The sequence below is a fragment of the Homo sapiens genome, chromosome 15 (assembly GCF_000001405.40).
Source record: "Homo sapiens chromosome 15, GRCh38.p14 Primary Assembly".
NCBI lineage: Eukaryota > Metazoa > Chordata > Mammalia > Primates > Hominidae > Homo > Homo sapiens.
In genome coordinates, this window is record NC_000015.10 from 94764382 (window position 1) to 94791527 (window position 27146).

At 37.7% G+C, this 27146-nt stretch overlaps 1 long non-coding RNA gene across 1 annotated transcript; it reads right to left on the reverse strand.

The window, feature by feature from the left end:
* Window positions 1-399: 399 nt before the first annotated feature.
* LOC105370988 (uncharacterized) lies at window positions 400-26788 on the reverse strand. Its single transcript, XR_932644.3, has 3 exons — window positions 26426-26788; window positions 1554-1636; window positions 400-1025 (listed from the first exon to the last, which is right to left on the reverse strand). It is a non-coding gene; the product is annotated as an uncharacterized LOC105370988 (long non-coding RNA).
* Between the last annotated feature and the right edge of the window lie 358 nt (window positions 26789-27146).

Genomic DNA, 27146 nt, shown 5'->3' on the forward strand with positions numbered 1-27146 from the left:
TTATAAAGGAGAGTTCCACTATACAAGCCCCCTTGCCTGCCACCATGTAAGACGTGGCTTTGCTCCTCCTTGCCTTCCACCGTGATTGTGAGGCCTCCCCAGCCATGTGGAACTGTGAGTCAGTTAAACCTCTTTCCTTTATGAACACCCAGTATCAGGTATGTCTTTATTGGCAACATGAGAACAGACTAATACAACAGCTGTTTCATGAGTTTGATTCTATAGCATTGTTTACATTTTAAGATTATCTTTGCATATTTTCTTCAGGAAGATAAATCTGTTAAATAGATATTCTATTGAGTAGTCATTACTTTATACAATGCTTACCATACCTTGGCAAATATGTTAGTAGTAGAAATATATTTTTGCATTAAAATAGTAGCCATAATATATTACATGTTTACTTATCTGTTATTTTCCAAAGAATCTGATATATCCAGATTTCTTCCCTCATCTCTTACACTTTCAAAAATTGAAACACTTCCACAGCAGCAATGGAAGACTAGTAGTAGTTCCCAGTATACCTTTGACATTACAGAAACATATTCTTGTTTAGCGAAAGAATAAAGATGGGGTAAAACTACATAGATACCATCATTAAATAAATTTTAGAATACTTTCTTGCCTCCTGTTATGTATTTGAGTTAATATGAGCATTTGTCAATTGTACCATATTTTTAAATGAAGTTGGTATCTTGTTTCCTGCATGGGAGCCGAATTGCTAGGTCAACAGGCCCTTAAATGTCATGAATTGCAATATATACAGCAGATGACACTTGTCAAAGGCTCAGTGATCAATTCAGATACAAATCTGACTTGAGGACTGAGAGAAACCAAATCAAATCGATGTAAGAGATAAAGTCCAGGTTTGGCACAGTGGCATAGTCAGCAGCCCTTCTCATGGGATAACGCAGCAGGGCCTCCCCTGAGATTGACAGTCCCAGGTCTTGTCAGTTCTCCCGCAGCCTGCAGTTGGATCGCTCTGTCTTCCTACCACGGTGTTCACTGGGCTAGCGATTAGGCAGCTGGGCAGGGAAAAACAAACAGCAACAATAACAACAAAAATATGATACAGCCAATACACCCTGCCTTCTTTACATTTCCGCAACTTTTGCCTTATGATGCCATTTTTTCATACAAGGAGATGTCAAAAATTAAGGCGATTTTCACAGAAAAAAAAGTAATTTAACTGGGAATACCTCCATGTAATTAAAACAAAAAGTGTCTATAAGGATGGTGAGTGTGAAGGTCTGGAAATGACTCAAGGCCATGTCAGTGGAGACCAAGCAGTTTGTAACCGACAGAAGCAAGTCTCAGGCCTCTCTACAGGGAAACTGATCCAGATGCAGATGCAGGGAAGCAACTGTGCTGAGCCCCCAGTCACTGAGGTAGGTGACATCTTCAGTCATGAAAGGGGAGTTTGTTAAAATAGTGTCAGCTCCTGGAACACAAGAGTCACATTTTCTATTGATAGTAATTATCTTTAGGGGGCATTTACTAGTTGCCACACACTTAATAAGACCTTTACATTCATTATTTGAAAGAATACTCACATGAGCTCTCTCAGATAGGTGATGTCATTATTTTCATCTTGTCGATGGAGAAACTGAGGCCTCAGGTCACATAGCCAGGAAAGCTAAGATGAGAACGCAGCTTTGTGTGACTCCGCACTTTTAACCACGGCATAACTTTTTTTTTTTTGAGACGGAGTCTCACCTTGTCACCCAGGCAGTGGCAAAATCTCAGCTCACGACAACCTCTGCCCCCCTGGTTCAAGCGATCCTCCCACCTCAGCCTCCTGATTAGCTAGGATTATAGGCGTGCCACCATGGCCAGCTAATTTTTGTATTTTTAGTAGAGACAGGGTTTCACCATGTTGGCCAAGCTGGCCTTGAACTCCTGACCTCCAGTGATCCATCCGCCTCAGCCTCCTGAAGTGCTGAGATTACATGTGTGAGCCACTGTGCCCAGACTTTAACCATGGCATAACTTTTATCCATCTCTATATCCTCCACAGCACTTGAGGCAGTAGTAGTTAAAGGATTGGATTGGGTGGAAATAAATCAAATGTAAAAGTTTAGACTGTCACCAGAACCTAACAAGGTTCTCAGCAGGAAGGACTTCTGAAGCATTTTGTATTTTTGTTCCAAGCATTTGAGAATTAGAGAATAATTTTCCTGTTGCATCCATTCATTCACTGATGAATTCAACAAAATGTATTTGGTGCCTACCTGGCGTTAGATTCGGTGGTGAATGAGACAGTCGATGTATTGTTTTCATATAGTTTAATAGCTGCGAGGATGACGCAGACAGTACTAAGTGTAGAAGGTTTAAGCAGAGTTACAAAATAGAGAAGGTCTCAGGGAGATGATTTAGGTAGGATTTTCAAGGACGGCCTCTTTGAGGTGACACCTGAGGTGTGACCAAAAAAACAAAAAGAACCAGACTTAAGAAGAGCAGGAAAAGCTTTCCAAATGGAAAAATAAAAATATAAAAATAAAAAATAAAAAATAAAACAGCAAGTGCAAAGGCCCTGAAGCAGAAATGACCTGGGTGTGAGCAAACACTGGAAAAGAGGTAGAGTGGCTTGCATGTCCCAAGTGATGAAGGACATAATACGAAAGAATCATAGCAGAAGCAAGACCAAGTCAGGTGGGACCAAATGGGTCAGGAGCATTAGGTTTGCTGAGTATTCTAAGGGTGCTGGAAAACCTTTGAGAGATTTTAAACAAGAAAGTGACAGGATCTGGATTGTAAGCTACAGACAGAAATGTGATCACGGTATGAAAGAACATAGATGGACATAAAGAAATAACTGGCCGAGGATGGTGGCTCATGCTTATAATCCCAGCACTTTGAGAGGCTGACGCAGGTGGATCACCTGAGGTCAAGAGTTCGAGACCAGCCTGGGCAACATAGCAAAACCCCATCTCTACTAAAAATACAAAAATTAGCTGGGCATGGGGGCATGGGGGCATGTTCCTGTAATCTGAACTGCTTGGGAGGCTGAGGCAGCAGAACTCCTTGAATCTGGGAGGCGGAGGATGCAGTGAGCTGAGATTGTACCACTGCACTCCAGCCTGGGTGACAGAGCAAGAATCTGTCAAAAGAAAGAAAGAAAGAGAGACAGGAGAGGGGAGGGGAGGGGAGGGGAAGAAAGAAAGTAAGAAAGAAAGAAAAAGAAAGAAAGAAAGAGAGAGAGAAAGAGAGGAAGGAAGGAAGGAAGGAAGGAAGGAAGAAAGAAAGAAAGAAAGAAAGAAAGAAAGAAAGAAAGAAAGAAAGAAAGAAAGAAAGAAAGAAAGAAAGAAAGAAAGAAAGGAAAGAAAGAAAGAGAAAGAAAGAAAGAAAACTGACTAACTCACTAAAGGAAGCCAGGGCCCAGCTCTAGGGATCCACCAAAATGTAGAGATTAGCAGAGAAAGTGAGACCAGCAAAGAAGACTCGGAAATATTGGCCAGGGAAGAAAGGACACCCAAGACGGAGCTGCAAGTGACTGTCTAGGAGAGGACCCTGGAGAAGGCAAGAAATAATCAGCTTTGGAAATGGGGAGGCACAGTCCCTGAAGGAATGTTCTAGAGTGTCTCAGCAGTGCAGAGTGTATTTTACCAAGAAGAAGGTAATCAGTCAACTTGATGTCCAAGAAAATTCCATGAAAAAGGAGGCATCAAAATTGTACTGGAAAGTAATTTTATCACTCTTCAGGCTCCTTTGAGTTGATCATCTGAATTTTCATTGGACTTATGATTTATTATTCAGTTCCTGCATAAACAAATTGTACTTTTTAAAAATCTCTGTGGTTGTTATACATCATCTTTTGGTTCACTGGGAAGGATTATTAATCTATTATGAATCAGCTTCCAAGCATTCCTAAATAAGTCTTCTCTTTCCTTCATCTACATATTTTGTCTGCACAGAGACCATCTAAAGAGACTGCGTAAATGATATTCACATAGTCTAGAAGTTGGGCCACTCAATGTGTGGTTGTGCATAGAAAGACATGGCATCATAGCTCTCTAAAGGGTCACCGGGAAGGGCCCGTGCAGGGGGGGAGTTCAGGTTTAGGTTGCCTCTTGGAAAACTCAACAACAATACCAAGGAAAGTGGATGCAGTGATAATGGGACGAGGGTGGAAGGAGAGGAGGGGGTTCTTGGATGACAGGTTGCTGAATCCGGAACCCTGACACTTGTGAAGTACTCTGTCAGGAACATTAAGTATCCAAAAGTGATAAAGCTTCAATTTGCTAGTCCATTAGACTAATTACTGCAATAATTAAGTAACTACTTGATTAGAACTAATGGGTACCTAATTATCCAGGAGAAAAGTATCAGGTGGCAATTAATAGACTGGAGTTAATGTCTTAGCACTGTCTTTGTATGAATTCATAAGCAAGGTAAATAAAACAAACAATAACTTATTAATATTTATTGGTGGCACGGTGTTTTTCAGCTTGTTTCATTTATACAGAACCAATTAGTGGAGAGACCATTAGAGTGGCAGGAAAGAAAGGGACTGAAGCCGACTTAGCTTTTTAAAGGTACAGGATCTCATTAGCAATAACGACTAACATTTAACTGGAATCAACCTGTGATTTTAGCTTTGTTGCCGTAAATCTATTGAAAGGGGATCACAGAGGTGAAAAATCAATAGTCATGATAAAATCAGTGAGAAATTGGCTAATATATTGAAGTCAAGGGCCTTATTAAAGATTTTTCTTGGTCCACTGGAAACCTCTCATCTATTTCTCCCACTGGTATTTTTAAATGGCTGGGGTGAGAGAGGGACAGGAAGAAACGTAACTTAGGCGAAAAGAAACTTTTCTGATGAACACATATCACACAGAAGCCCTGGATTTCTTCCAGCATAAAAGGTTCTCTCTCTAGGCCAGTTATTTTTAAGCATTGACTAAGACCTGCTGCTAATATTAGAAAATATTTGTTCCAAAAATGTGATGTTAGAACAAGACTTCCATCTGTAGTTATGTTGCTCTGTGGTGATAGTCCTGCCTTGTACAAAACCACTTTGCTAGAAAGCATCAGGCAGAGTTTGAAAGGCAACACTCAAGTTTAGAGGAGAAAACAGGTCAGCTATTTATTTATTTATTCTTTAATTCAGGAAAACACATGCTACAAGGTTGTAAGGCTTCTGGGCAAACATAAGAACAAGAACTGAACGGCAGATCAGGAGAGGGAAAAACTGCCCTCCAAATGAACAACGTTCTGAATCCAACATTTCCGCTGTGTAAAGAAAATAATAGCTGTATGCTTAGAATTTTCTTTGCTTAGTTCAATGGTCTTTTTGAAGACAACGATTTTTAAAAATTGAGGAGAGGTTTGGACTTGTGTTAAATTTATTAACATTTTAAAAGTAATGTAATTAACCCTACAGTATAGGAAAACCCCATCTACTTTTATTTTATTTCCTTGGCGAGTATAAATAATTGAAGTGTGTTTTAATCATATTTTTTGGGGAAAAGCAATCACCTTGTATTAGAGTACATACAGTGACAAATGGTGATAAATCTAAAATTTATAGAAAGGGAGCATTTGCATAAACTGCAGAATCCAAACACATAGAACATTAAGAGTAACAATTGTTGAAAAGGGCATGAAAAATTCAACTTTGGTTTCACGATAGGGGCCCGGATTTCTAACATGATTAAGATAATACATCACTTGGCCCTCTCTTATTAAAGGCATAATTGTTGTTAGAACCAGAAGTGGCATTAAAGCTAATCTAGTTTTATATATGTACAAATATGAAGAGAAGTGCACTTGCAGACGGTTGCTTTTGGAGATCCATAGGCATTTTATTAACGTTTGAATAATAACCGCCTAGAGGGCCTGTTATAAATTAAAGGGACGGATTGAGATATAAATTTTTATGAGGACTAGTTATACATTTCCATTATGTGTTTAAAAATGAAGGAATTACTGTGAGCGCTGCAGTACTCACATTTATTTGAGGTGATTTGGACGGGAGGGACGGTGGATGAGAGCTGTAGCGTGGCGGCAGTAAGAAAGATGTATCTGTCCCTTTGAACAGATACATCATATGTCATGCATGAACTCTGTTCTACCAGAGTCGCTCCTCCACTGCCAAATCTGCATGATTATTTCTATGACAATAGCGAGTGATGATATAGCGTGAGTTTCATGCCACTTAAAGGGTTTCCTATGGTTCAATCCTGGAAGACTTGGCTATTATCTCTCTGCTAATGGAATAACAGAAGACAGTGATCACTGGAAAGCAATTCTAGTTCCTCTCTTTGCTCCTGGCATACTTTCTAGGGTTTGATAACTGGCCCAAATGCATTTGGGGAAGCAGATCCCACTGAATGATAATCATCCTTCTTTCTTCGTGTCTTCTGATCAGTTCTAACGTTGTCCTCGGTTTGACAGATATAATGGGTCTATGAATTTTCAATGCTTATAAACTACAACCCCAGTGGATTCAGGAAGACCTGTGCAGACATGCTTATGTGGCTACATGCACACACAGGCACATATGCCCATACACAGATACACATACACACACACACACACACACACAATCATGCACACATGCATGCAGACTTATAGATCTAACCCAAACCCTAAGAATATCAATACATGTTAGAAAGCACTGCATTCTCTGTCACTTATAGCTCCACACAAGTTTTGAAATCAGGCAAGTCCAAAGTTACATCCCAGCCAGAATGCTCACAAGTTGGTGATGTGAGCAAGCTATTTAACTGGTAGCTCTCAGTTCCCATATTTGTATAAGGAAAAGCTTATAAAGCCATTTGGAAGATTAAATGTCATTTAATGCAAGATTCCTGGTACACAATACAATCTTGCTAAACTTGTATTCCTGTGTTAAGTAAGGGCTGCTGTAGCAAAGTAACACAGACTGGGTGATTTAAACAACAGAAATTTACTGTCTCAGAGTCCTGGAGGCCAGAAGTCAGAGATCAAGGCGTTCACAGGATTGGTTCCTTCTGAAGCCTATGAGGAAAGGATCTGTCCCAGCCCTTTCTCGTTGGCTAATCAATGGCCATCTTCTCCTGATGTCTTCACATCATCTTCCTTCTGGGGAAGAGTCACACTCTGGGTTCTTAGCCTCTCTTCTTACAGGGACACCAGTCAATACTAGATTAAGGCCCACCTACTGACCTCATTTTCACCAGATTATCTTTTTAAAGACTCTATCTCTAAACAGTCTGAGCTACTAGGGGTTAGGACTTCAACATATGAATTGAGTTGGGGGTTACAATTTAACATCTAACAAAATGTTTGATGAATGAATAAATAAAAGAATATCATCAAAGATCTTGTGAGGATAAAAAGTGTTTATTCTCAAGTTATCACATCCCCATCTCTAGCCCAATTTGGCAATCTGGGTAAGACACTCAAACTTTCCATATTGCTTGTGGTCATCCACTTACTCTGATAAAATGACAAGAATATTTGTGATTTTTTTTTCTTATTGCAAATTGACATGAACCAATCCCAGGTGTGCTAGGTGATTACAGGCCACTGCATCCAGGTGGTGGGCAATCCAGTACCCTCAGCCACCACATGCTTCCAGCAAATCTGTGGGAGCCCCTTGTGAAAATGATCATTGCTTGAATGATTATAATGATGACCAAAGAGATGCAGCATGTAGAAGAAAATCAGAGCTCTTGTTGTGCTGGTTTTAAAATAGACTGAACTATCCACATACATCTTTTCCAAACCCAGAAAACTTCCTAATGGTAGGGTTATTTGAATTTAAATTCCAGAACATCAGCTCTTCACCAACATGCTGCTATTTACCAATTTTAGAAATAATGTTAAAAGACTACATAAGGTCTTCCTTCCCCATCTTCGTGAATGGTCAATAAAAACCCAAAAGGCAGAGGGGTATCCTCTGAGTCTGCCTGCCTTCTCCCTTCCCAGTTGGCTAATAGGGGGACTTCAGACACGCTTTTTTTTTTCTACTTTATTCTCTTAATCTCCAAATGGTCCTTGTGAAGAAACAATATGTGATGTCCTCACACAGGGTGGAACTTGCAATTATTATTTTAGTATTGTTTTCATATTTAGAGCTGAGAAGGAGCAGGGCCTCAGAGTCCAGCAGGTACTCAAATAGCGTCATTTTCTTCAACATCATTTCATTATAATGTTCACGAGAAAAAAACTCCATTCCTGCTGGGGCCACAGTCTGTGTGGAGTTTGCACGTTCTCCCCATGTGTGCCTGGGGGTTCTGCAAGTACTTCAGTTTCCTCCCACATCCCAAAGCTGTGCACGTTAGGTTATCTGGCGTGTCTACATGGCACCAATGTGAGTGAGTATGGTTGTGTGTGCATGTGCTCTGTGATGGGATAACGTCCTGGCCAGGCCTGGTTCTCACCTTGCACCCTGAACCTGCCCAGATGAGCTCCAGCCACTCACAACCTGAACTGCCACAAGTTGGAGAATTATCTGGTTTTTCACTTTCCTAAAGTATGAATAGCTCACATTTACTTCAATGTTGAATATTAGAAGTGTTTGGGGTCTTTATGTAGAAGTTTGATGATGTTTTTGTGACCAGAAATAAGCCATAGGTACTCAACTCTTGTTTATGTCAATTAGCCTATGGGAATGCTGGTTTCCTTATATGTTATTTCATTTAAAGTCACTGTTTCAAGGAACATAGCCACGATATTAAGTGAGGACTTATTGTAACTGATGCCCTTGAACCTACCTTTCTAGTTTATCTCAAACTTCTGGTTTTAAGTTAGAGGTAAACTGAGTGGCAGGCACCATGGGAAAGTTACGAAGTAGAATGAAAACTCAGAGCCTTAGAACTGTGCCTTTGAAAGCACCAGTGACGGTGTTTCCTCAAAGATGGGCTGAGAGGAGGAGCATGAGTGAGTCAAACCTGCCTCCCTTTAGCCCTACCTAGCCCTGCACCTGGTGCCTGTAGTTCTTGGGCAGTAGGTGCTGGTCCCAAAGAGGAAAGCAGCATGAATTTCTCAGCACGGCATAACAACTAGGAAAAGGAGGAGGAACTGTCTGTGCAGAGCCCATCACTTCTGAAACATTGATGCTTACTCACCCTTCCTACACAGACAAGGTTGTGCCATGGAATAACCAAGGGCAGGAGAGTCAGTGGTTGGCTGATGTGTAATGATTGACTGTCCTACAGTTGTAAGTAGGAGAAACACTCATTCACCAGGCACCTGACACAGGTGGCTTTAGGGTGGTCTCAGAAACCAAGGGCTCTGCTGCCACAGATAGGAGAGAAGGCACCAGAGTATTTCATCTGCCAGTTTGTATGTAGAAATGCCTGAAGCCCAGAAGAGGGGGAGATGAGAGTTTGAATAGGGTGACTGAGCATGGAGGGTAATTCAGTACATTTAACCTAAATGGTGTCTGCTAGAATTTGCATGAATACATGTGTGTGTGTGTGTGTGTGAGTGTGTGCATGCATTCGTGCATGCGTGGGTGTGCATGTACCATGCATATACACCCATCTATACACACATTCATATTTTGGCTTGGGTGGTATCCCTAGGCTCACTGAGATTTATTTCTTTTAGTCTGGAAAGAATACTAGAAGAGGTCTTGTCATTTCCTCATCCCCCTCATATTTCTGAGATTTTCTAGATGTCAAAAGGGGAAAAAATGAAATATAATATGATGAGAAAAGAAATGATACAATGCTCAGATTTTGTTTTTTCTTAAAAGAGCTTGATTTCACTCTGGCTTGGGTGAAAGTTCAGTTTGGTTCTTATTTTATCCACACCATTTGCCCATCCCTCATGAGATGCTCAGCTCCCTAAGTCCCTCTGTCATTCTGTTTGTGTTCAATTCTATCTTCCTCATTCCTATAGAATGCAGTTGTATTATGAAGTGGCCTGGACCTGGCCCAGTATTTTAAACATGACCTGCCTCATATCTTGCACCCTGGAAGAACAAATCCTTTTGGTTCTTTCTTGTTCAATACTTACAAATTCATTGCCCAATTTTGAGCGTTGTTATTTTGTCCTTGCTGCAGTAGTGACCAAAGCTGATTTTCTGGAAGTTGGATTTCTTTCGTCCCATAGCTACTTTTCTCCCGCTTTCAGCTCAGTTACCCGGTTATTTTAATCATGAAACTAAGGCGATGAAGGGACTCCATAGTGAGGTTAGGAAGAGGTTACAGCAAAAACGCATATGAAATAAAAGATTAATTTTCCTACGGTTTTCTTTATATTCAATGAATAGCCAAAAAATTTTATAGAAAATCTAACGGCACTATTATTAGCCTAAAAATGACACTTAAAAATACCCCAAATTTGGGAATCAGGCATCCTTTTATCTATGAAAATAATACAAAGAAAGAAATATATTTGAGATGTTTTTTTCCATCATGATGATGTAAGTGTGTATCCAAACTCTGCCCCACTTACCTTTATAAATGAGGTCATGGACTGATGTGTATCTGAGATAAGAGTGCACCTGTAACCATTTGGAGAATTTCTGTAACCTTGACCTCACTGATCCTCTTCAATTAACTGACCCAGCCCGGAATACCCATGGGGAAAAGAGGTGAAGAATCAGATACTCATTCCATTTTTTAAAAAGTCCTGCTGTTGAATCAAAGAATTTAATCTACCACCACCACTTCCTGTTACCCACACTAGCTCTTAATCTACCATCAGGAAGTGAACAGGGCCCTGGGGGAAAGAACCTAACTCACTATTTCTTAGATGCCTCCATGGAAGCTCAAAAGCATTTTTCCCCTGAATAGATCATTTAATCTCCTTTTACCACAGCCTCCTTTCTTGAAAGATGGAGGTCATAATACTAGCATATTTCAAAGGCTTATTGGAAAAAACTATCTGGATAGCCATTATCAAGCATTTTGTAAATATGAAGTGCTGTATATGGGCTAATAATTCTTGAAATGATACAATTTTATGCAGTTATCAAGTACTATCGCTAGAGCCTTTCAATTTCTCTGGGTATTTATCTTTTCTTCCTCTTCTACCTACTTTTACATTAAGATATAGAGAAATACAATTCCTTTCCTTTCCTCACGACTAAGATTTGAGACAGCCTTTAGTGAAGGAGAGAAAGCTCTTAGAAACATTATCTGTGGATCCAAATGCAAAAGTTTTCAACTAGAGAATCATCACCAACAGATGAATCTGAATATCTTCTAGAGAAATAGGGTACTAAAGTGAGAAGTTAAATTTTTTAAAGATCCAGAAATATATTTTTTAGAAAATAAAAACATCTCCTTAGGAGGGACTGTTGTTACCAGCAACTATGGCAAAAGTATAAATACTAATCATTTGTTGAGGACCTAGTATACGCTAGGTGCAATACATAGAATTTTTATTCTTGGCAACAACATTGAAGACTTGAAATTTTCATTTCATAAATGAAGGACCTTCCCAAATTTTTACAGCAAAGGGACGAGAATATCAAACTTTCTGAATTCAAAGCCTGGGCTCTGTTTCATAGGGCATACCACCTTTCTATTATCTATTGACCACTCAGTAATCCAGGCTAACTAACATGACCCAAATTATCTACATAGTGATCAGGTTTCTACTTTGTACTCTGGGGACATGTGTCATCTCATTGACTTGTTAGACCCCTCTTCAGATAGCCATCCAGTACATGACAACATATAAAATTGAAAGTAGAAATTCCTACTTAAAATTTTTCAAAAGTATGACCCCTAGGCCTCCTCAATGTTAATAATTTTTGGCTGTGTGAAATGTCTTTTGGCAGATAACCAACAAGAGATGACTCTAAATGGGAGCATATGATTGAGAAATTGATGTAGCTCTTCTTATTGTGATCATTACAGGCAGAAATAGAAATCACTTTGCTAAATAGGACTATAACATTTCATACCTGGGATAGGTTTGGCTGAGGGCCCTAGTATGACTGATAAGCTAAAAGAACTATTTATTTGGGGATATTATGATCTGTAAAAGCATTGTAAACCTTTCTACCTGTTAGAGCTAATGTGAAATCATTGCATGGAAAAAAGAGATGTTGAGCTATTAGGATAGATAAAGCTATTTTAAAATTTTAGTTTTGAACATATGTAATCAGAACAAATACACATATGCATATAAATGTAATGACAGTTCTATAAAATCATCTCCACAATTCAAATATCTTGATTATTCCAACATATTTTAATTTGCACTAAATTTTTAGTTATTTGAAGGTTTAGAGAATATATATCTATGACCCAATGAAAACCTCAGCTGTTATCTTTGTGTTAAACACATCTAATATACAGTATCCGGAATAATTATCATGCCACTGGAGGAACTTATTTATTAGTAAGAATTTGTTTTTTCATTTCTAAAACATTAAATAATTTTTCAAATTTGTTCCTATTTTTTCAACATTAAGTAAATATCACCCATGGTCCTATGAAGTGGTAGCTGATCGTGGATGCCTGCTATGGAAATCCCAGATTTTCGATTTCATAGGGTCCCTAATGGCATTAATCAAGGCAGCGCAACTTACTTAAAAGGAACAGATGATTAATCTTGACAATAGAAATGTAAACAGAACTCTAATTCATGAATTGGCGATTACCCACCCCCTCCCCCCCATACACACACAATCCACCACTGGGATATTAGCCCTTTGTTTGAGATTTACCCTGTGCCACATACATATTATAAGAACAAAAGAGAGTTCTTTATATTTAAAAATATCCATTCAGCTCAGCTTACAGAACAGGGGAAAAATTGCTATATTTATCAAGGTTGATTTTGTTTTCCAAGTCTCTAATTCGAAACTGAAGAATGCAAGACTACATACATCAGGTGTTTCCAGCAAAATAGCAGCAGCAGCAGCAAATCATAGACATTTGTCATTCCTTAGAGCTGTCTGACAGTTCTGACAATTCATTAGGCTGAGCTGAAAAGAGGTTTAGAAAGCAAAGAAGGGATCACAGGTAGGAGAGTGTCTTTTGCATGATCCAGTAATGGCTGATTTGTATCATTTTGGGTGATGGATACACTGTTCAGATTAAACCCAGCAGGGTTTTCTCCCCTCTCCCTTTCCTTGATTTCCCCCTGCCCCCAGTTTCCTTCCTTCTAGAAGCCCCCAGGACATTGAGTATAGGTTATACCTTCAGTAGTAGTTCATCCTCAAAGGTAGGTTCATATATATATCGAGGAAGTGCTTTCTTCCAAAGGAAGCTGCTTCAGAGACAGAGGGAGTCACTGAGAAGTAACAAAACCATTCCTTGCTTCCCTGTTTTTACCTGTCATATGAGATTTCATCCCATTCATGCTCATCAAAGTATCTATGTGCCCTACATCCAAGTCACTAACACGTGAGCTCTAACACATCAGCAGCTGACTTTGTCCCAGCCCATCATAATGGCTGCACAATTCTTCATACATGGGTATAAAGGGTTCTCGGCTACCAGTTGTCTGCTCATCCTTGGGATAGGACTGGGGATTCATTTCAGGCATTGTCTTTTGAAACCTCTTGCAATGCCCAGGTTAGGAAACTTTTCATTATTAATTTAGATAAAGAGCAATTGTAGTGAATAAACCATAAAAGGCTCTAATTTGCTCCTGTTTCTTTAACTGTAAGTAAATATCACCAATGGTTCTTTGAAGTGGTAGCTGATCCTGGAAGCCTGCTATGGAAATTCAAGATTTTCAATTTTTTAGGGTCCCTAATGGCATTAATCAAGGCAGCACAACTTACTAAGAAAGAACAGATGATTAATCTTGACAATAGTAATGTAAACATAACTCCCTATACTTGGGGTGCACATAACAGTATATCAAAAAGTATTTCTGGACTTTTGCTACTAATAACTGCAATGTGGGTTACCCAACTCAAGAAGGTGAATTTAATGAAGCAAAATCAGTACTACTTAGGGTCAACTTTGTGTGCAATGGTTTGGGAGAGAAAAAGACAGTAGAGATATAGGCTGTATCTTTAAGGTTTACACTTAAACCAAGACTTAAAGCTAATCAAAAATTTAAAACTCTCCAGACTATGCATGAGACTACATTCCTTTACTTAGTTGCTTACTTTTCAAACATTTCTTAACAATTTCTAAGCATCCAGGAATTTCCCAGGAACTAGAGATTATCCTTAAAGAGAATTGAGACAGCATAGAGACAATTCATCAAATAGTGAAACTCATAATTGACTAAAAATTGTACATTGTGATTAGTGCCATGAAAATAATCAAACAATAGAAAATAATAAAAAAAAAAGTAGAGTTGCTGGCTTGGGTAGAGTCAGAAGGGAAGTCCTGCCTGAAGAGGTAACATTTGAAATGAAAATGAGAATGCGTGCCACGACACCCACGAGGGAGAGTGAATTTCCCATTCATGTATTCTAGGGGGAAAAAATGTGCAAATATGGCTTGAATTAGGTGAGAGGGAAGACTGGAGAAGGTCCCGGACTGCAGGGATTTTTGCCTTGTTCACAGCTGTATCCTCTGTGCCTAAAAAAGTGTATGGCACCTAGGATATCCTCCATGAAGATTTATTACCTATATAATGAATGGAGACCAGAGTGTTGCAGGATGGAGCTTGGGAGGTAAATGGAAGCCAGATCAAATAGGGCACTGTGAGTAGGAAGAGTTGTAAGGAGCTTCTCTTTTGTTCTAAATAGAAAAGGCTTAAACAGAGGAGTGACAGGATTTAATTTATATTTTTAAAAGCCAACTGACTCACAGAATGGACCTTGTTAGGGTGCCCTGCCAGCCACTGTGAGTGTTGACTGTCAGGGGCTCCTAGTGCCCCCCTCCACAGAATTTCCCTCAGTAGCTGGAGGGAAGTTTTGCAGCCCTTCCTGGAGTACTCCATAGACAATGATAGAGTAATAACAGCACAAAATCCTGGCCTCTTTCCCTTAAGGGGTGCAAATCTGCAGTGGAATTTGTGCTTCTGAGATCCCAGAGGATTAGAGCAAGGCAAGACTTTACCTGAGACTACATTCCCATTGTTTTGTTTTGTTTTTGCTTTCTTCATCCTGCTTCACTCCTTGCAGTTTTTATTTTCTTACAAACCTGGTAGTTTTTGTTTGTTTGTCTAAAAAGCACTCCCTCCATCAGCCACATGTGTCCAAATACCTTCCTCAGGCTCTGCATCCAAGGAGCCTAACCTAAGATGGCTCATATAGGGAAAACAAAGCACAGGGGAAAGAACGATCCCAGGGCCATCCTCTCTGCAGATTCTATTTAGAGCCAGGTAAGAATTCAAGAAGGTGCTAATGGACTTCAGGATAAAGAAACTGTCAGCACAGGGTAGACTTAATAAGGGGTGAGTTTTATGACTAGAAATAAAACAGAAAAAATTTTGACTGACAACAAACAACATGCAACTGGAATTTAAAAATATATATATTTGGTCATTCTTTCGCCTGAAGTAACCATTTTGGAAAGAGGAGGAGAAAGGGAGAGGGAAAGGGCAAAAGAGAAGAGGGTGGTAAAGGTGTGTATGTGTCTATGTCTGGAGGGTAGAAGCTATTAGCAAATAATATGGCACTTACTGGGTCATGGTTACAGGAAAATCCTCTTCAAAAATGGGTTTCCCAAGCATACAATGGGAAACAATTCTTTTTTTTTTTTTTGAGATGGAGTCTCGCTCTGTCACCCAGGCTGGAGTGCAGTGGCATGATCTTGGCTCACTGCAACCTCCACCTCCCGGGTTCAAGCGATTCTCCTGCCTCAGCCTCCTGAGTAGCAGGGATTACAGGTGCACGCCACCATGCCAGGCTAATTTTTGTATTTTTAGTAGAGGCAGGGTTTCACCATGATGGTCAGGATAGTCTCGAACTCCTAACCTCGTGATCCACCTACCTCAGCCTCCCAAAGTGCTAGGATTACAGGCGTGAGCCACTGTGCCCTGCCGGAAACAATTCTTATGAATATTTGCTTTGGCTCTGAATACAGAAGGAAATAAATTCTAACCAAATAACTAGGAACATGGCCCTTAAGTCAATGTTACTGTGAGAACAGATGGCAAGACTGAGTAGGATACCAACGACATGAACATGTCATCTTGTTATCAATGTAATTGAAGTCATTCTGTCATGAATGATAGTTCATCAGATATTCTGCCAGTGTGTCACAGCATTATATGTAATGAGAGGCCTCCTAAAACCCAAAGGGAAATGCATTCATTTTTTATGACTTTACTTTTTGTTTCTTGAATTCTCTTGGTACTAGTGTAAAATGTGTGCAATTTTATTAAATATATAAGAAACCAGTAAACTTAGAACTTAAAATACCAATATGTATTTGCTCAAGACATTTTTATGTGCAAAATTTGATTCATATTATTGCCCTTTTTATCCTCACTGATATGTTATCCTATGTCCCATCAAATGTTTGTTCCTTGAGTAATCTAAAAAACAAAAATTTCATGGTACATAAATTTTATTGGTGGGGATGAAGCTGGTAAAAAAGTAAAGATGAAGTATTCCTTAATTTAAATGTGAAAGCTTTGCTATTTTCTGCTTCCAGCTATGATGGTGTGGCTTGAGGCAGACCATCACCCCCATTAAGAACAACTAGTACAACTATATGAAATTCCAAAAATATTCTGTTTGAAGGAATCAGAGTACTTCCAAGAAAGCTAGTACTTGATGGGCCAACATTTTGGAGAAATGCAAAACTTACTATCATGAGGGCAATGTTACTGTACATTTCAATTTTTCTTCAAGAAATTTGTTGGCTTGTAAACTTCCAAGAGAAGATGCTAAGAAACCAGGTAGCTGGCCACTGCCAAAAGGCAAACAGCAGAGCTTGCAACACCCTAATGAAGCTGAAGACAAAAAGTAAAGTTTAGTCTTGCCAGGGCAGCAGAGACTTAAAGGTCTATGATCCCAAAAGAAAGGAAGTTGTAGGTAAGTGAATTTAATATTCCGTGTCAGTTTTCTTCATGAAGAATTTGCTGATTCTAAAGATACACAAGCCAAGATGCCAAAAAGCGAGAGAAAAAGTGGATGAAAAGCTCAACAGAACTTTCTCAATAATGGGAGGACAAATATTGACATCTAGGACCCACCAAGAAAAAAGAAGCCCTAAATGATAACCTCAGGCTCTCAATCAGAACATCTGAGAGCTATGCCCAAGAATTAGAGGTGAACCAGAGGTAGACTAAGTCTTCAAAAGTCTTAAATGCTCACTCAAAACTGCTCAATTTCTTATTGGAATAAGAAGGTGTGCTCTTCTAGTAGCTGCCTACCAGAAAATAAGATGGATTCTTACTAGAAAAAGACAATAGCATCCACAGTTTCTATAATTTTTGTGTACACAAGCCTGAAATTCAATAAATATTTTCCAGATATACCAAGAAATAGGACCAAGAATAAACACTGATGATAGAGGCATAGGTGATCTCGATATTGGAGTTATCAAATATAACTCCATAATAGTAAAGTCTATCAACTGTAGACTTTAACTAAAACTAATATGCTTAATAAGATAGACAATGAATTGGATACATATTGTAAAGAATTAGAATCTATTTTAAAAATGAATGAAAATTCTGGACCTGAAAAAATAGACTTTTTTTGAACTTAAGAACTAAATAGATGGGTTTAACAGCAAATTGAACACAATTGAAAAAAGAATCAGTCATTACATTAGTAGAACATATTCACACAGAGGCATGAAGCATAAATGGAATGGAAAATGAAGGGAAGGAGGGAGAAATATAAAAACATACTAGACTTAGTAAAAAGGTATAACCTACTTGTCATTTAAGTTTCAAAAAAAGAAGAGAAAGCAAATGGGGAAGAAGCCATATCTGATCAAATCATTGCCAAGAATTTTCCCAAAGTGGGGTAAGACATTAAGCCACAAATCTAAGAAGTGCAGAGATTGCAAGGCTTTGGAGAATCATGCCTCAGGAGCAGAAATGCCAAGAGCAAACAAAGTCTTAACAAAATTCCAATCCATTCTCAACCCAACTTAGGGTCTGATTCAATTAAGAGAATTAAACCTTCACCATCTCTGACTAGAAGAGAAAAATAGTAAGCTTTCTGTAATGTGTATTTTCCAGAAAAGAGCTAGGGCTAAAAAATTAATGATCTAAGTATCCACCTAAAAAATTACAAATTAAAAAGTAAATTGTACCAAAATAAGTAAAAAGTAAAAAAATAAATAAATAAAAAGATAAAAAGTGAAATTTATAAGTGAAAACAATATCACAATGTCAAATGTTAGTTATTTGAGAAGATTAATATAATGAACTATTGGAAAGACTAAGAACAAAAAAGAGAATGTACTATTTATTAATATCAGAAAAGAAAAGCTAGAAAACACTGCAGATCCTACAGACATAATCCAGATAAGAAAAGGATATTATATCCAACTTTATGCCAATTAAGAATTTAGATAAAATATAAAAATTAATAGTCAAACACAACCTCAAACTAACACAGATGAAGAAAAGAACTGAATAATTCTATATATATATATATATATATATATATAATCTATTTTAAAATTATAATTTAAAAACTTCTCCCGCAGAATTCCAGGCTCAGATGGTTTCCCTAGTGAATTCTTTTAAAGCCCTGAGTTATAAATAACATCAATCTTACATAAATTCTTAAGAGAAAAGGGAGCATTTATCAATTTGTTTTATTAGGCCACAATAATTTTGATACCAAAACATGATAAGCATTGTAAGATAAAAATAATCATAGGTGTATCCCTCTAAACACAGACACAAAATTCTAAATGAAATATTATCAAATTGAATCCATCCATATTTTAGAAAAAGATGATCACAGCATGTTGACTTTTTTCCAGAATGCAGGATTATTTTAAGGAGTCAATCAATGATCAATGTAACTCTCCAAATTAACATAAGAGGAAAATATGAGCATCTCAAATTTGATAAAATTCTATTCCCTTTCATGATTAAAGCTTCCAATTAGGCATAAGAATTTGGATTAGAAGAGAGCTTGGGAAATCTAAAAAAGAGTATCCATAGAGTCTATAGCAAATTTCAAATTTAACAGTGAAATATTGAAAGCTATACCTCTTAAACTCTGAGATTACAACAAGGTTCCCTGCTATAAATATTTCTATTCAACATTATTCTGGAGATACTAGACAGTGCAATAAGGCAAGAATACAAGAGATAAAGATCTATAATATAAAAAATAAAGCTGTCATTATGTACATAGATAATAGATTATAGGTACATAGAAAATTCACAGTATCTACAAAAAATAAAACTATTAAGTCAATTTAGCAATGCTCTAGACACATGGCCAATATGCAAAGATCATTTGTATTCCCATATATTAGGAAAATAATTTGAAAATTAAATTAAAGAACTAATATTATTTATAACAATAGCAACAAAATACAAAACACTCAGAAATAAATGTAACAAAAGATGTGTGAGACTTCTAAAAACTATTAAAAAAATTGAGAGAAATTTAAATGTTCTAAAAATGATACAGTAATATACCAAGATAACAGATGGAAGCTTCTATACTATAAAGCAGTTAATTCTTTTCAAATTGATTTATAGATTCAATGTCATCCCAACTGAAACCATAAAAGGTTCTTTATAGAAACTAACAAGGTTTCTTTCACAAATGTATATGCTATTTCAAAATACTGAGAATTTTACAAACAATAAAGTTGGAGGATTTAAACTATTACATATCATGATATTATAAATTTTTGGTAGTTAAGAAAATATTACATTTTTGCACACATGAATGAATAGACCAATGGAACAAAACAAAGAGACCAGAAGCAGACAAATGCATACATGGTGACTTGATTTATGATGAAGATGACACTTCAGCATGGTGGGAAGAAAGATGCTTTTTTTTTCATCAAATGATTTGGGATTGAATAGATATTCTTACAGAAAAATGAACTTAATCTCTGTCTCACACCAAATATAAATAAATTGAAGATTAAAAAGTGAGCAGTAAAATAATAAAGCTTCTAGAAGATAATATGGTAGAATTTTATCACAGCTTTGGGGTAGGCAAAGGTTTATTAAACAGAACACAAAAAGTACTAAATATAAAGAACACAATTGAAAACTGGATGGCAGCAATCAAATCAAAAAATGCAAAAGAAATCCAAGTGGCAGATAAATATAAAAGAGGATGCACAGCTCATTAGTCACATAAGTTTATTAAAACCACATTGAGATACCACTGTGCCTTCATCAAGATGGCTAGATTAAAAAAATTAACCATACCAAATGCTGGCAAGGTTGCAGAATTAGAACTCTTATGCACTGAGGGGGAATTTGTGGAACTATCTTGGCAAACTGTTAAACACGACTAAAGCTGAATATATTCGTGCCCTGTGCCTCATGATTCCACTGAAAGCATATTTCCAACAGGTATGTACTAATGTGTACTAAGAAACCCATACAAGAAGGATAATAACAACACTATTTGCAGTTGAAATGAGACAAACCAACCCAAGAACCCATCAACTGGAGATCATATAAATAAATTGTGGCCTAACTAATCCATGGAATACTATACAGCGGTGAGAATGAACCACCACTAAACATAACATCATGGGTACATTTCACAAACATAATGTTGAGTGAAAGAAATCAGACACAGAGGACAAACAGTAGTATTCCACATACACAAAGTTCAAAGCAGACAAAACGAACGGATAACCACAGAAGTGAGGCTGTGACTGGAGGTAGGCATGAGAGGGACTCTGCTGGTTTTTAATTGGTGTGGTAGTTACAAAAGTGTGTTAACTCTGAAAATTATCCAACTTTAGTGATCTGTCCACTTTGCTGTCTATATTTTTATAATTCATTAAAGAGTTACTTTAAAAATTGAGGGCTTTTAAAAATGGAAACAAGTTTTAGACTTACATCACTGTTTTTGGAGCAATTTCTCACAGATGGGGAAACTGTCATGTTCTAGCTATCCAGGATTTTTTCTTTCCCTGTGAAATGTGAAAATTTTAAACAAGAACAAAAAAATTCAGTTTTGCCTAAGGCAAATAAATGAAAATCCTTGGGGTAGAGTTGCTGAAAGTAAAGTGTATATTTTCTCCATGTGAATCACAATGAAAAGACAGAATGTATATCTTCTTAAAATTGGCTAAAATTCTAATTTCACTAACTTTATGACGTGACAATGCCGTGACATCACTACTTATGCCAGTGCAATATCAGACAGGTTTAGAGAAAAAAAAAAAAGACTAGTCTTTTTTAACTTATTTATTCCATCCTATTCCTAAATAAACACATACACACACACATCTTACATAGAGCCTCTTTTCCTTGCCTATAAGATACAAATTCTTAATTATTTACATTTTTACATTTTTTAAATGGACATGCATGTATATTTGGAGCTGTAAAGTTTTTGTGAGTTATATAACCCCAACTCAGCAAATATTGATCAGCCTCTTTAAAAGATATAGCATTAATGAATTCTAATAAACTGACGATAAGCTAATTTAATACCTCCATCTCAGTCCACATATGTATAGATAGAAGCAAACATATGCATATTACAGACATGCTTCAGTAAAACTGGGCAGTTTATCTTGAATAATTCATTGTTTGTGGAACTGGTAATTGGAATTAAATTTAAGCTCCATCTTTGCAGCACTGAACAGTATTTGAAAATAGAAAACTGAACACATCAATCTGTTGTTTCCTCTCCAGAATGTCATCAGGCATATCCACTGGCAAGCTGCATAAGCAATAGTGTCACAGCATAGGACAACCAAAACACTGACAGGTACTTCCAGGCACAGCACTGATGAGGTCAAATACCCCTAAACCTGCCTTGTTTGCTGATCTTTTAATCAGATTCAACTTGACTGTGGCCATAGCACAAGGCTTTCTGACAGTATGTGACAGCATATGACAGCAAAATATTTTGATTTTTCACCATTTGATGATATTTCAGATCTCTTGCAGCCCTTTGTAAACTAGCACAGTGTTTTATGGAAAATGGTACAGGCAGTTAATTGCCTTGGATGCTTGCATGGTCTCTTTTGGATTTCAACTGAATCCTAAGTTAGTGACTGCATCCTACATTTCAAGAGTAATAGGCCTTGTAGACCATCAGTGACCCTTAGTACCTTGCTTAAGAATAGAGGGGAAAAACAACACAACAACAATCGTGAACTCACAAGCCTAGCACCTAAAGTTGACTGAGGCTCCGGGGAAATGTGAATGTCCTTTCACCTTTTAAGCTTCTTCCCAACAATTGCAAAAGGGACTTCTTGGATACAAAAAAAAAAAACAAAAACAAAAACAAACAAACAAAAAAACAACAAAAAATCCTATGATCAAACATATCAACCTTTTTTTTAGACTCTTTTTATAAATTCTTTTCTTTCTAACCTCTGCATCAATGCTTGGGGGAATTCAGCTAACAATGACTCAGGGAGAAAAAGACAGAAAAAATCCACTGGAAAACTATTTTTAATAAGTTCATTATAAACCCTTAGGCATTTCAAGCCACGCTTTTCCTATCAGATATTTACAAGATTTGAAACCTAAAGAAAACAAAATTAAAATTGCATTAAACTTTCATTATCATTGAAATTATTTTCTAATTTAAATTCATATCTTTTTGATGTTGATATTTTTAATTGTTCTAAAATAAACCAGATACAGCCTCTGTGGCTTCCCATTGAGCTTGAAATAATGTCCAAAAGTCCACCTTCAATGTCCTATTGTTCTTCTCTTCCTGCTCACTCTGGTCAAGCTACACTGGCTTCTTTTGCCTTGAGCACACCAAGCTCTTTACTGCTGAAGGACTCTGCACTTGTCCTTCCCTCTATCTTGAAAGCCTACTCCTAGCCCTTATCTGGGCAGAACTTGCCTCTCTGCATGCACTCTGCCCTTCCTAACCACCCTGATTGATGTTCCTCAACCCCATCCCAACCCCTGTCAGGCACTCTCACAATGCCATTTCATTTTCTAATGCGATTCTTCCTTATATATACCTGCTTTTCCTAGTAGGATATCATAAACACCTTGGCACTGAGGACCTTTCTGCCTTCTTTACCTCATATCCCTGGCACCTAGAACACTGTATAGGCATAGTCAATATTCACCAAATAAAGACCCAAGAATTTATTTAATAATATTTTAAGACAAAATGGAGTAAATGCAATCTGTATTGATCCAGACTAAAATGATCATCAGCTATAGTTGCAATTTTGAGGTAAACAGCTTTAGTGGTGGTTTTAGGTGACCATAACCATGGAGATTGTGGCTGAATTCATAGTGCTTTTTTTTTCCAGTTAGATGTCTGATGCATCAGAAGACAGTTATAAGATCTCACTTCATTCAGATACCAATATAAGGCCACTTTCAAGTGTAGAATAGACAATAGTGATAACTTAGAACTTTGGGCAATGAACTTACCTCACTAAGAATTCAGGACGGTTGGAAGAAGGCAGAATATAATTTTCCAGTACAGAAATGGACTACTTAAGTTGATCACCATGACTCCTGTGAAGACGCTTGAATGGACCTGGGTGTCATGGCCTCCGTTGTGTTTTTCACATTTCATGTGGTCTCCTAATTAGCCTCTGTCCTGCCTCCCTGGATGCAAGAAGCTTTTTCAAAAGTACTTTCTCTAAAGCTCCACACAAAATAGAATTACTGAAATAGAAGCAGTAGAATGGAAAATGGCCTCTGTGACCTGATATTTGGAATGCTCAGGACACCAGGCTGAAGAAGACGACAATGGTAAATAAGTGCAAATCACCAAGAGTAGGGGTGTGATAGGTGAGGACTGATTCAAGAGCTACTGTTTCAGAGACAGAAAAGAAAATTTCCCTCCCTTCCTCTTTCTTCCTTCCCTCCCTCCTTTCTTTTCCTTTCCCTTTCCTTCCTTTCTTCATTCCTTCCTTCCTTCCTTCCTTCCTGCCTTCCTGCCTTTCTGCCTTCCTGCCTTTCTACCTTCCTTCTCCTTTGCCTTCTTCCTCTTCTTCCTTTCTTAAATGCTGACTTGCTGGGGAACTATACATAAATAATTTGCATCTCACCCTGCTTGCTCTCCTCTGCACTATGACAAGAGTAGTGCTAGTCAGATAAACAAAAACAAAACAGAGAAACCAAAACACACACACACACACACACATACACACACACACACACACAGACACACATGAGATAACTTAGGGTTAATTTAGCATGAAATGCTTCTTACCATGTGTTAGTCCAATCAGACTTTGCTATCCAGAAATACCTGAGACTGGGTAATTTATAAAGAAAAGAGGTTTAATTGGCTCTTGGTCCTGCAGGCTGTACAGGAAGCATAGTGGCTTCTGCTTTGAGGGAGGCCTCAAGAAGCTTCTAATCACGGCTAGAAGCAAAGGGGAAGTGAGGTGTTTCACATGGTGGGAACAGGAGCCAGAGAGAGGAGGCGGGAGGTGTTGCACACTTTTAAACAACCAGATCTTGTGAGAACTCACTCAATATCACAAGAATAGCACCAAGTGAAGGGTGCTAAGCACTGATGAGAAATCCACCTGCCATGATCCAATCACCTCCTGTTAGGCCCCACCTCCAACATTGGGAACTACAATTCAACATGAGATTCAGGCGGGGACACATATCCAAACTGTATCACACCACTCAAGTGTCATGAGTTATGAACATTAAAAAAATTGTACAAAACAGTTAAGTTGTTTCCTAAAGCCTCACCTATAGAAGGTTTAAAGGTCTTTTTTCTTTCTATCAATGGTGAAATACGTTTCTGGAACTGGCGCCATTGTTGAGAAGCCATGGAGCCATCTTGCCTAAATCAGATCATGGTTCTGCTAATTCTTGGTTGTATGACCTTGGCTAGTAACCAAAACTCTCAGTGCTTTGATTTCTTATTTCGTGAAGTGGGAATCATAGCGTTCAACTAATGTAGCAGATGTGATTGAAGCATTTAATGCAACCATAAGTAAAGCTCTTAGAACAGAGCTGGCATGTTGGAAATTTTCAATAAATATTACCTATTGTTATTCTTCTTCAGATAAGTCAAAATCATAAGCGGTGCTTGATCTCATTCTCAATCCACACCATCATGGGTAATTACAAGGTTAACATGATTGGTGTAGATTTATAACATAATTAATTGCCCACAATGTAGTAGAAAGGGCATCATTTTACAGTCAGACTGACGCAATTCAAATCTCTGCTTAAGTATTTAATATTTAATGTAGTTTTATGAACTTGTGAAAGTTGTTTTTTCACGTCTCAATTTTATCTATAAAGCAGAGATAAAGTTGTTTACTTTGTGCTGTGCACATTTGAAATAATGTGTGTACAGTACCCAGCCCAGTTTCTGGCATCTAGGAAAACACAATATTGAAGTTAGTTATTATTCTCTAGATGGCAATTATCTGAACAGAATTGTACTTCCTCTTTAAGTGTCTACTTAAGCAAAATGAGGTAAATAATTTACACTTTAGAAAGATAGTGCCCTGGTAGTTCTATAAATGATTCTTCATGACAATGTAAATCTTATCATAATCTATTGATTGTGTAAATTTTTCTGAAGGTATTACTTCTTACATATCATGTATTTCCTGAGCACCAGTGTGTGCTGGTACTCCAGTTAATTTGTATTGGCATAGATAAGCATAATATCTCATTCTGCCCTTCGTCAGTATTTAATGAGCATCATGCATGTATGTGTATGTGCGTTGCAGACAATAAATATATAGAAACATGAGAGCTTACAATCTTTTTGTAGAAATAAGGCATAAGCAGCTAACAAGTTAAATAAAAACTGTTGTGAACTATATTAGTTCAAAATAACAGCAAAGGAGCACCCCCAAGTTCAGGGCAGGAGAAGTAAAGAGCAGAGATGGGAAGGAATGAGAATTCAAATGGAGGGCATCCTCTGAGTGAGCTGGAGAGAACTTAGTTGGAGGACAGTGAGCTGAGCTCTAGGCACAGGCCCTGGTTGGGGGACGATTGTGTAGGGAAAACACAGTAGATGGAGGAAATGGTGTCAACCAAGGCAAGAGCTGAGTAAACCCTAAGTGTGGTCCCAGAGCAATAGATATCCTGAGTTAGTGGATGACCAGGAAGGTAAATGGAACGTGGAGCCATTTGGGAAAAGGCTGTGAATCTTGGATTAAGAAGTTTGACTTTCTGCTCAACAGGTAGTAAAGTCACTCAAAATTTTGGACGGAGAGTCAAATGGATTAAATAGGGCATGGATTAGATAAGTCTGGCTTCAGCAAAAAGATTAGACTTGAAGCAGGAGCAGTTAGAATTCAGAAGGCATTTAAGATGTCATTTTAGTAGTCTAGAGATATCATTAGACAAGGAAAGTTGAAAAAAAAAAGTCAAGGTTAAAACCATCTTAGAGAACAATAACCAATAGCCAGTAATTAGGAATTTGTTAGATAACAGAGGACTTGGAGGAAAAAAAAATGCAAGGAATAAACAGGACTGGTGACAGGGAAACATGGAGAAAAACACTAACCTTACCATGGGAACAGGACCGTGGAAATGCTGGCTGTCTTTGAAGGAAAGACCATCGTTTACTGGAGCACTCGCTTCTTTCTCCACATGTCGTGTTTGCACATCCAGTCATTCCAGCTCTTAAAGAAGTAGAATTTTACCTTCCTTATGATGAACCCTCAACAATTGTTACTTGTACAGTGTAGGCTCTTAATTTGTTTTTTTTTGATGGATTGGAAGAAGGAAGAAAGAGGAGAGGAAAAAGTTGTGTCAAGAAAGATGGGCTGATTTAACGTGAAAGTCACAAAAAACAGGCTTAAGAATTGAGATTTCAGATGTTAATTAGAAGGGAAGTGGTGATGTTAAGGAATCTTACATCAATGGTAGAGGTATGAGTGAGTCTGTAAGGTAATCAGAGAAAAGAACAAGCTACAGCAGATATTGATGACTCATTCTGGTAGTGAAAACAATAGAAAAATAGACTAGCAATTAGAAAAGCTCATAGACGAAAATTGCAGTTTTCTTTTTATTTCTAGTAAAAAGGAAATATGGATGTAATTAATAGCAGAAATCTGGAGAGAGGAGGATACTTAAGAAATTATAAAGGGACAATTTCATACCACAGATCGTTTTAGAAAAGAAGAGAACCACCAATTTCTCTAAGACAGAAAATAATTCAAAGATCTTTCTCTCTGATAGATTCAGAAAGAAAGAGAGCTGTTTGGTGGTTAAAAAAAGAAGAG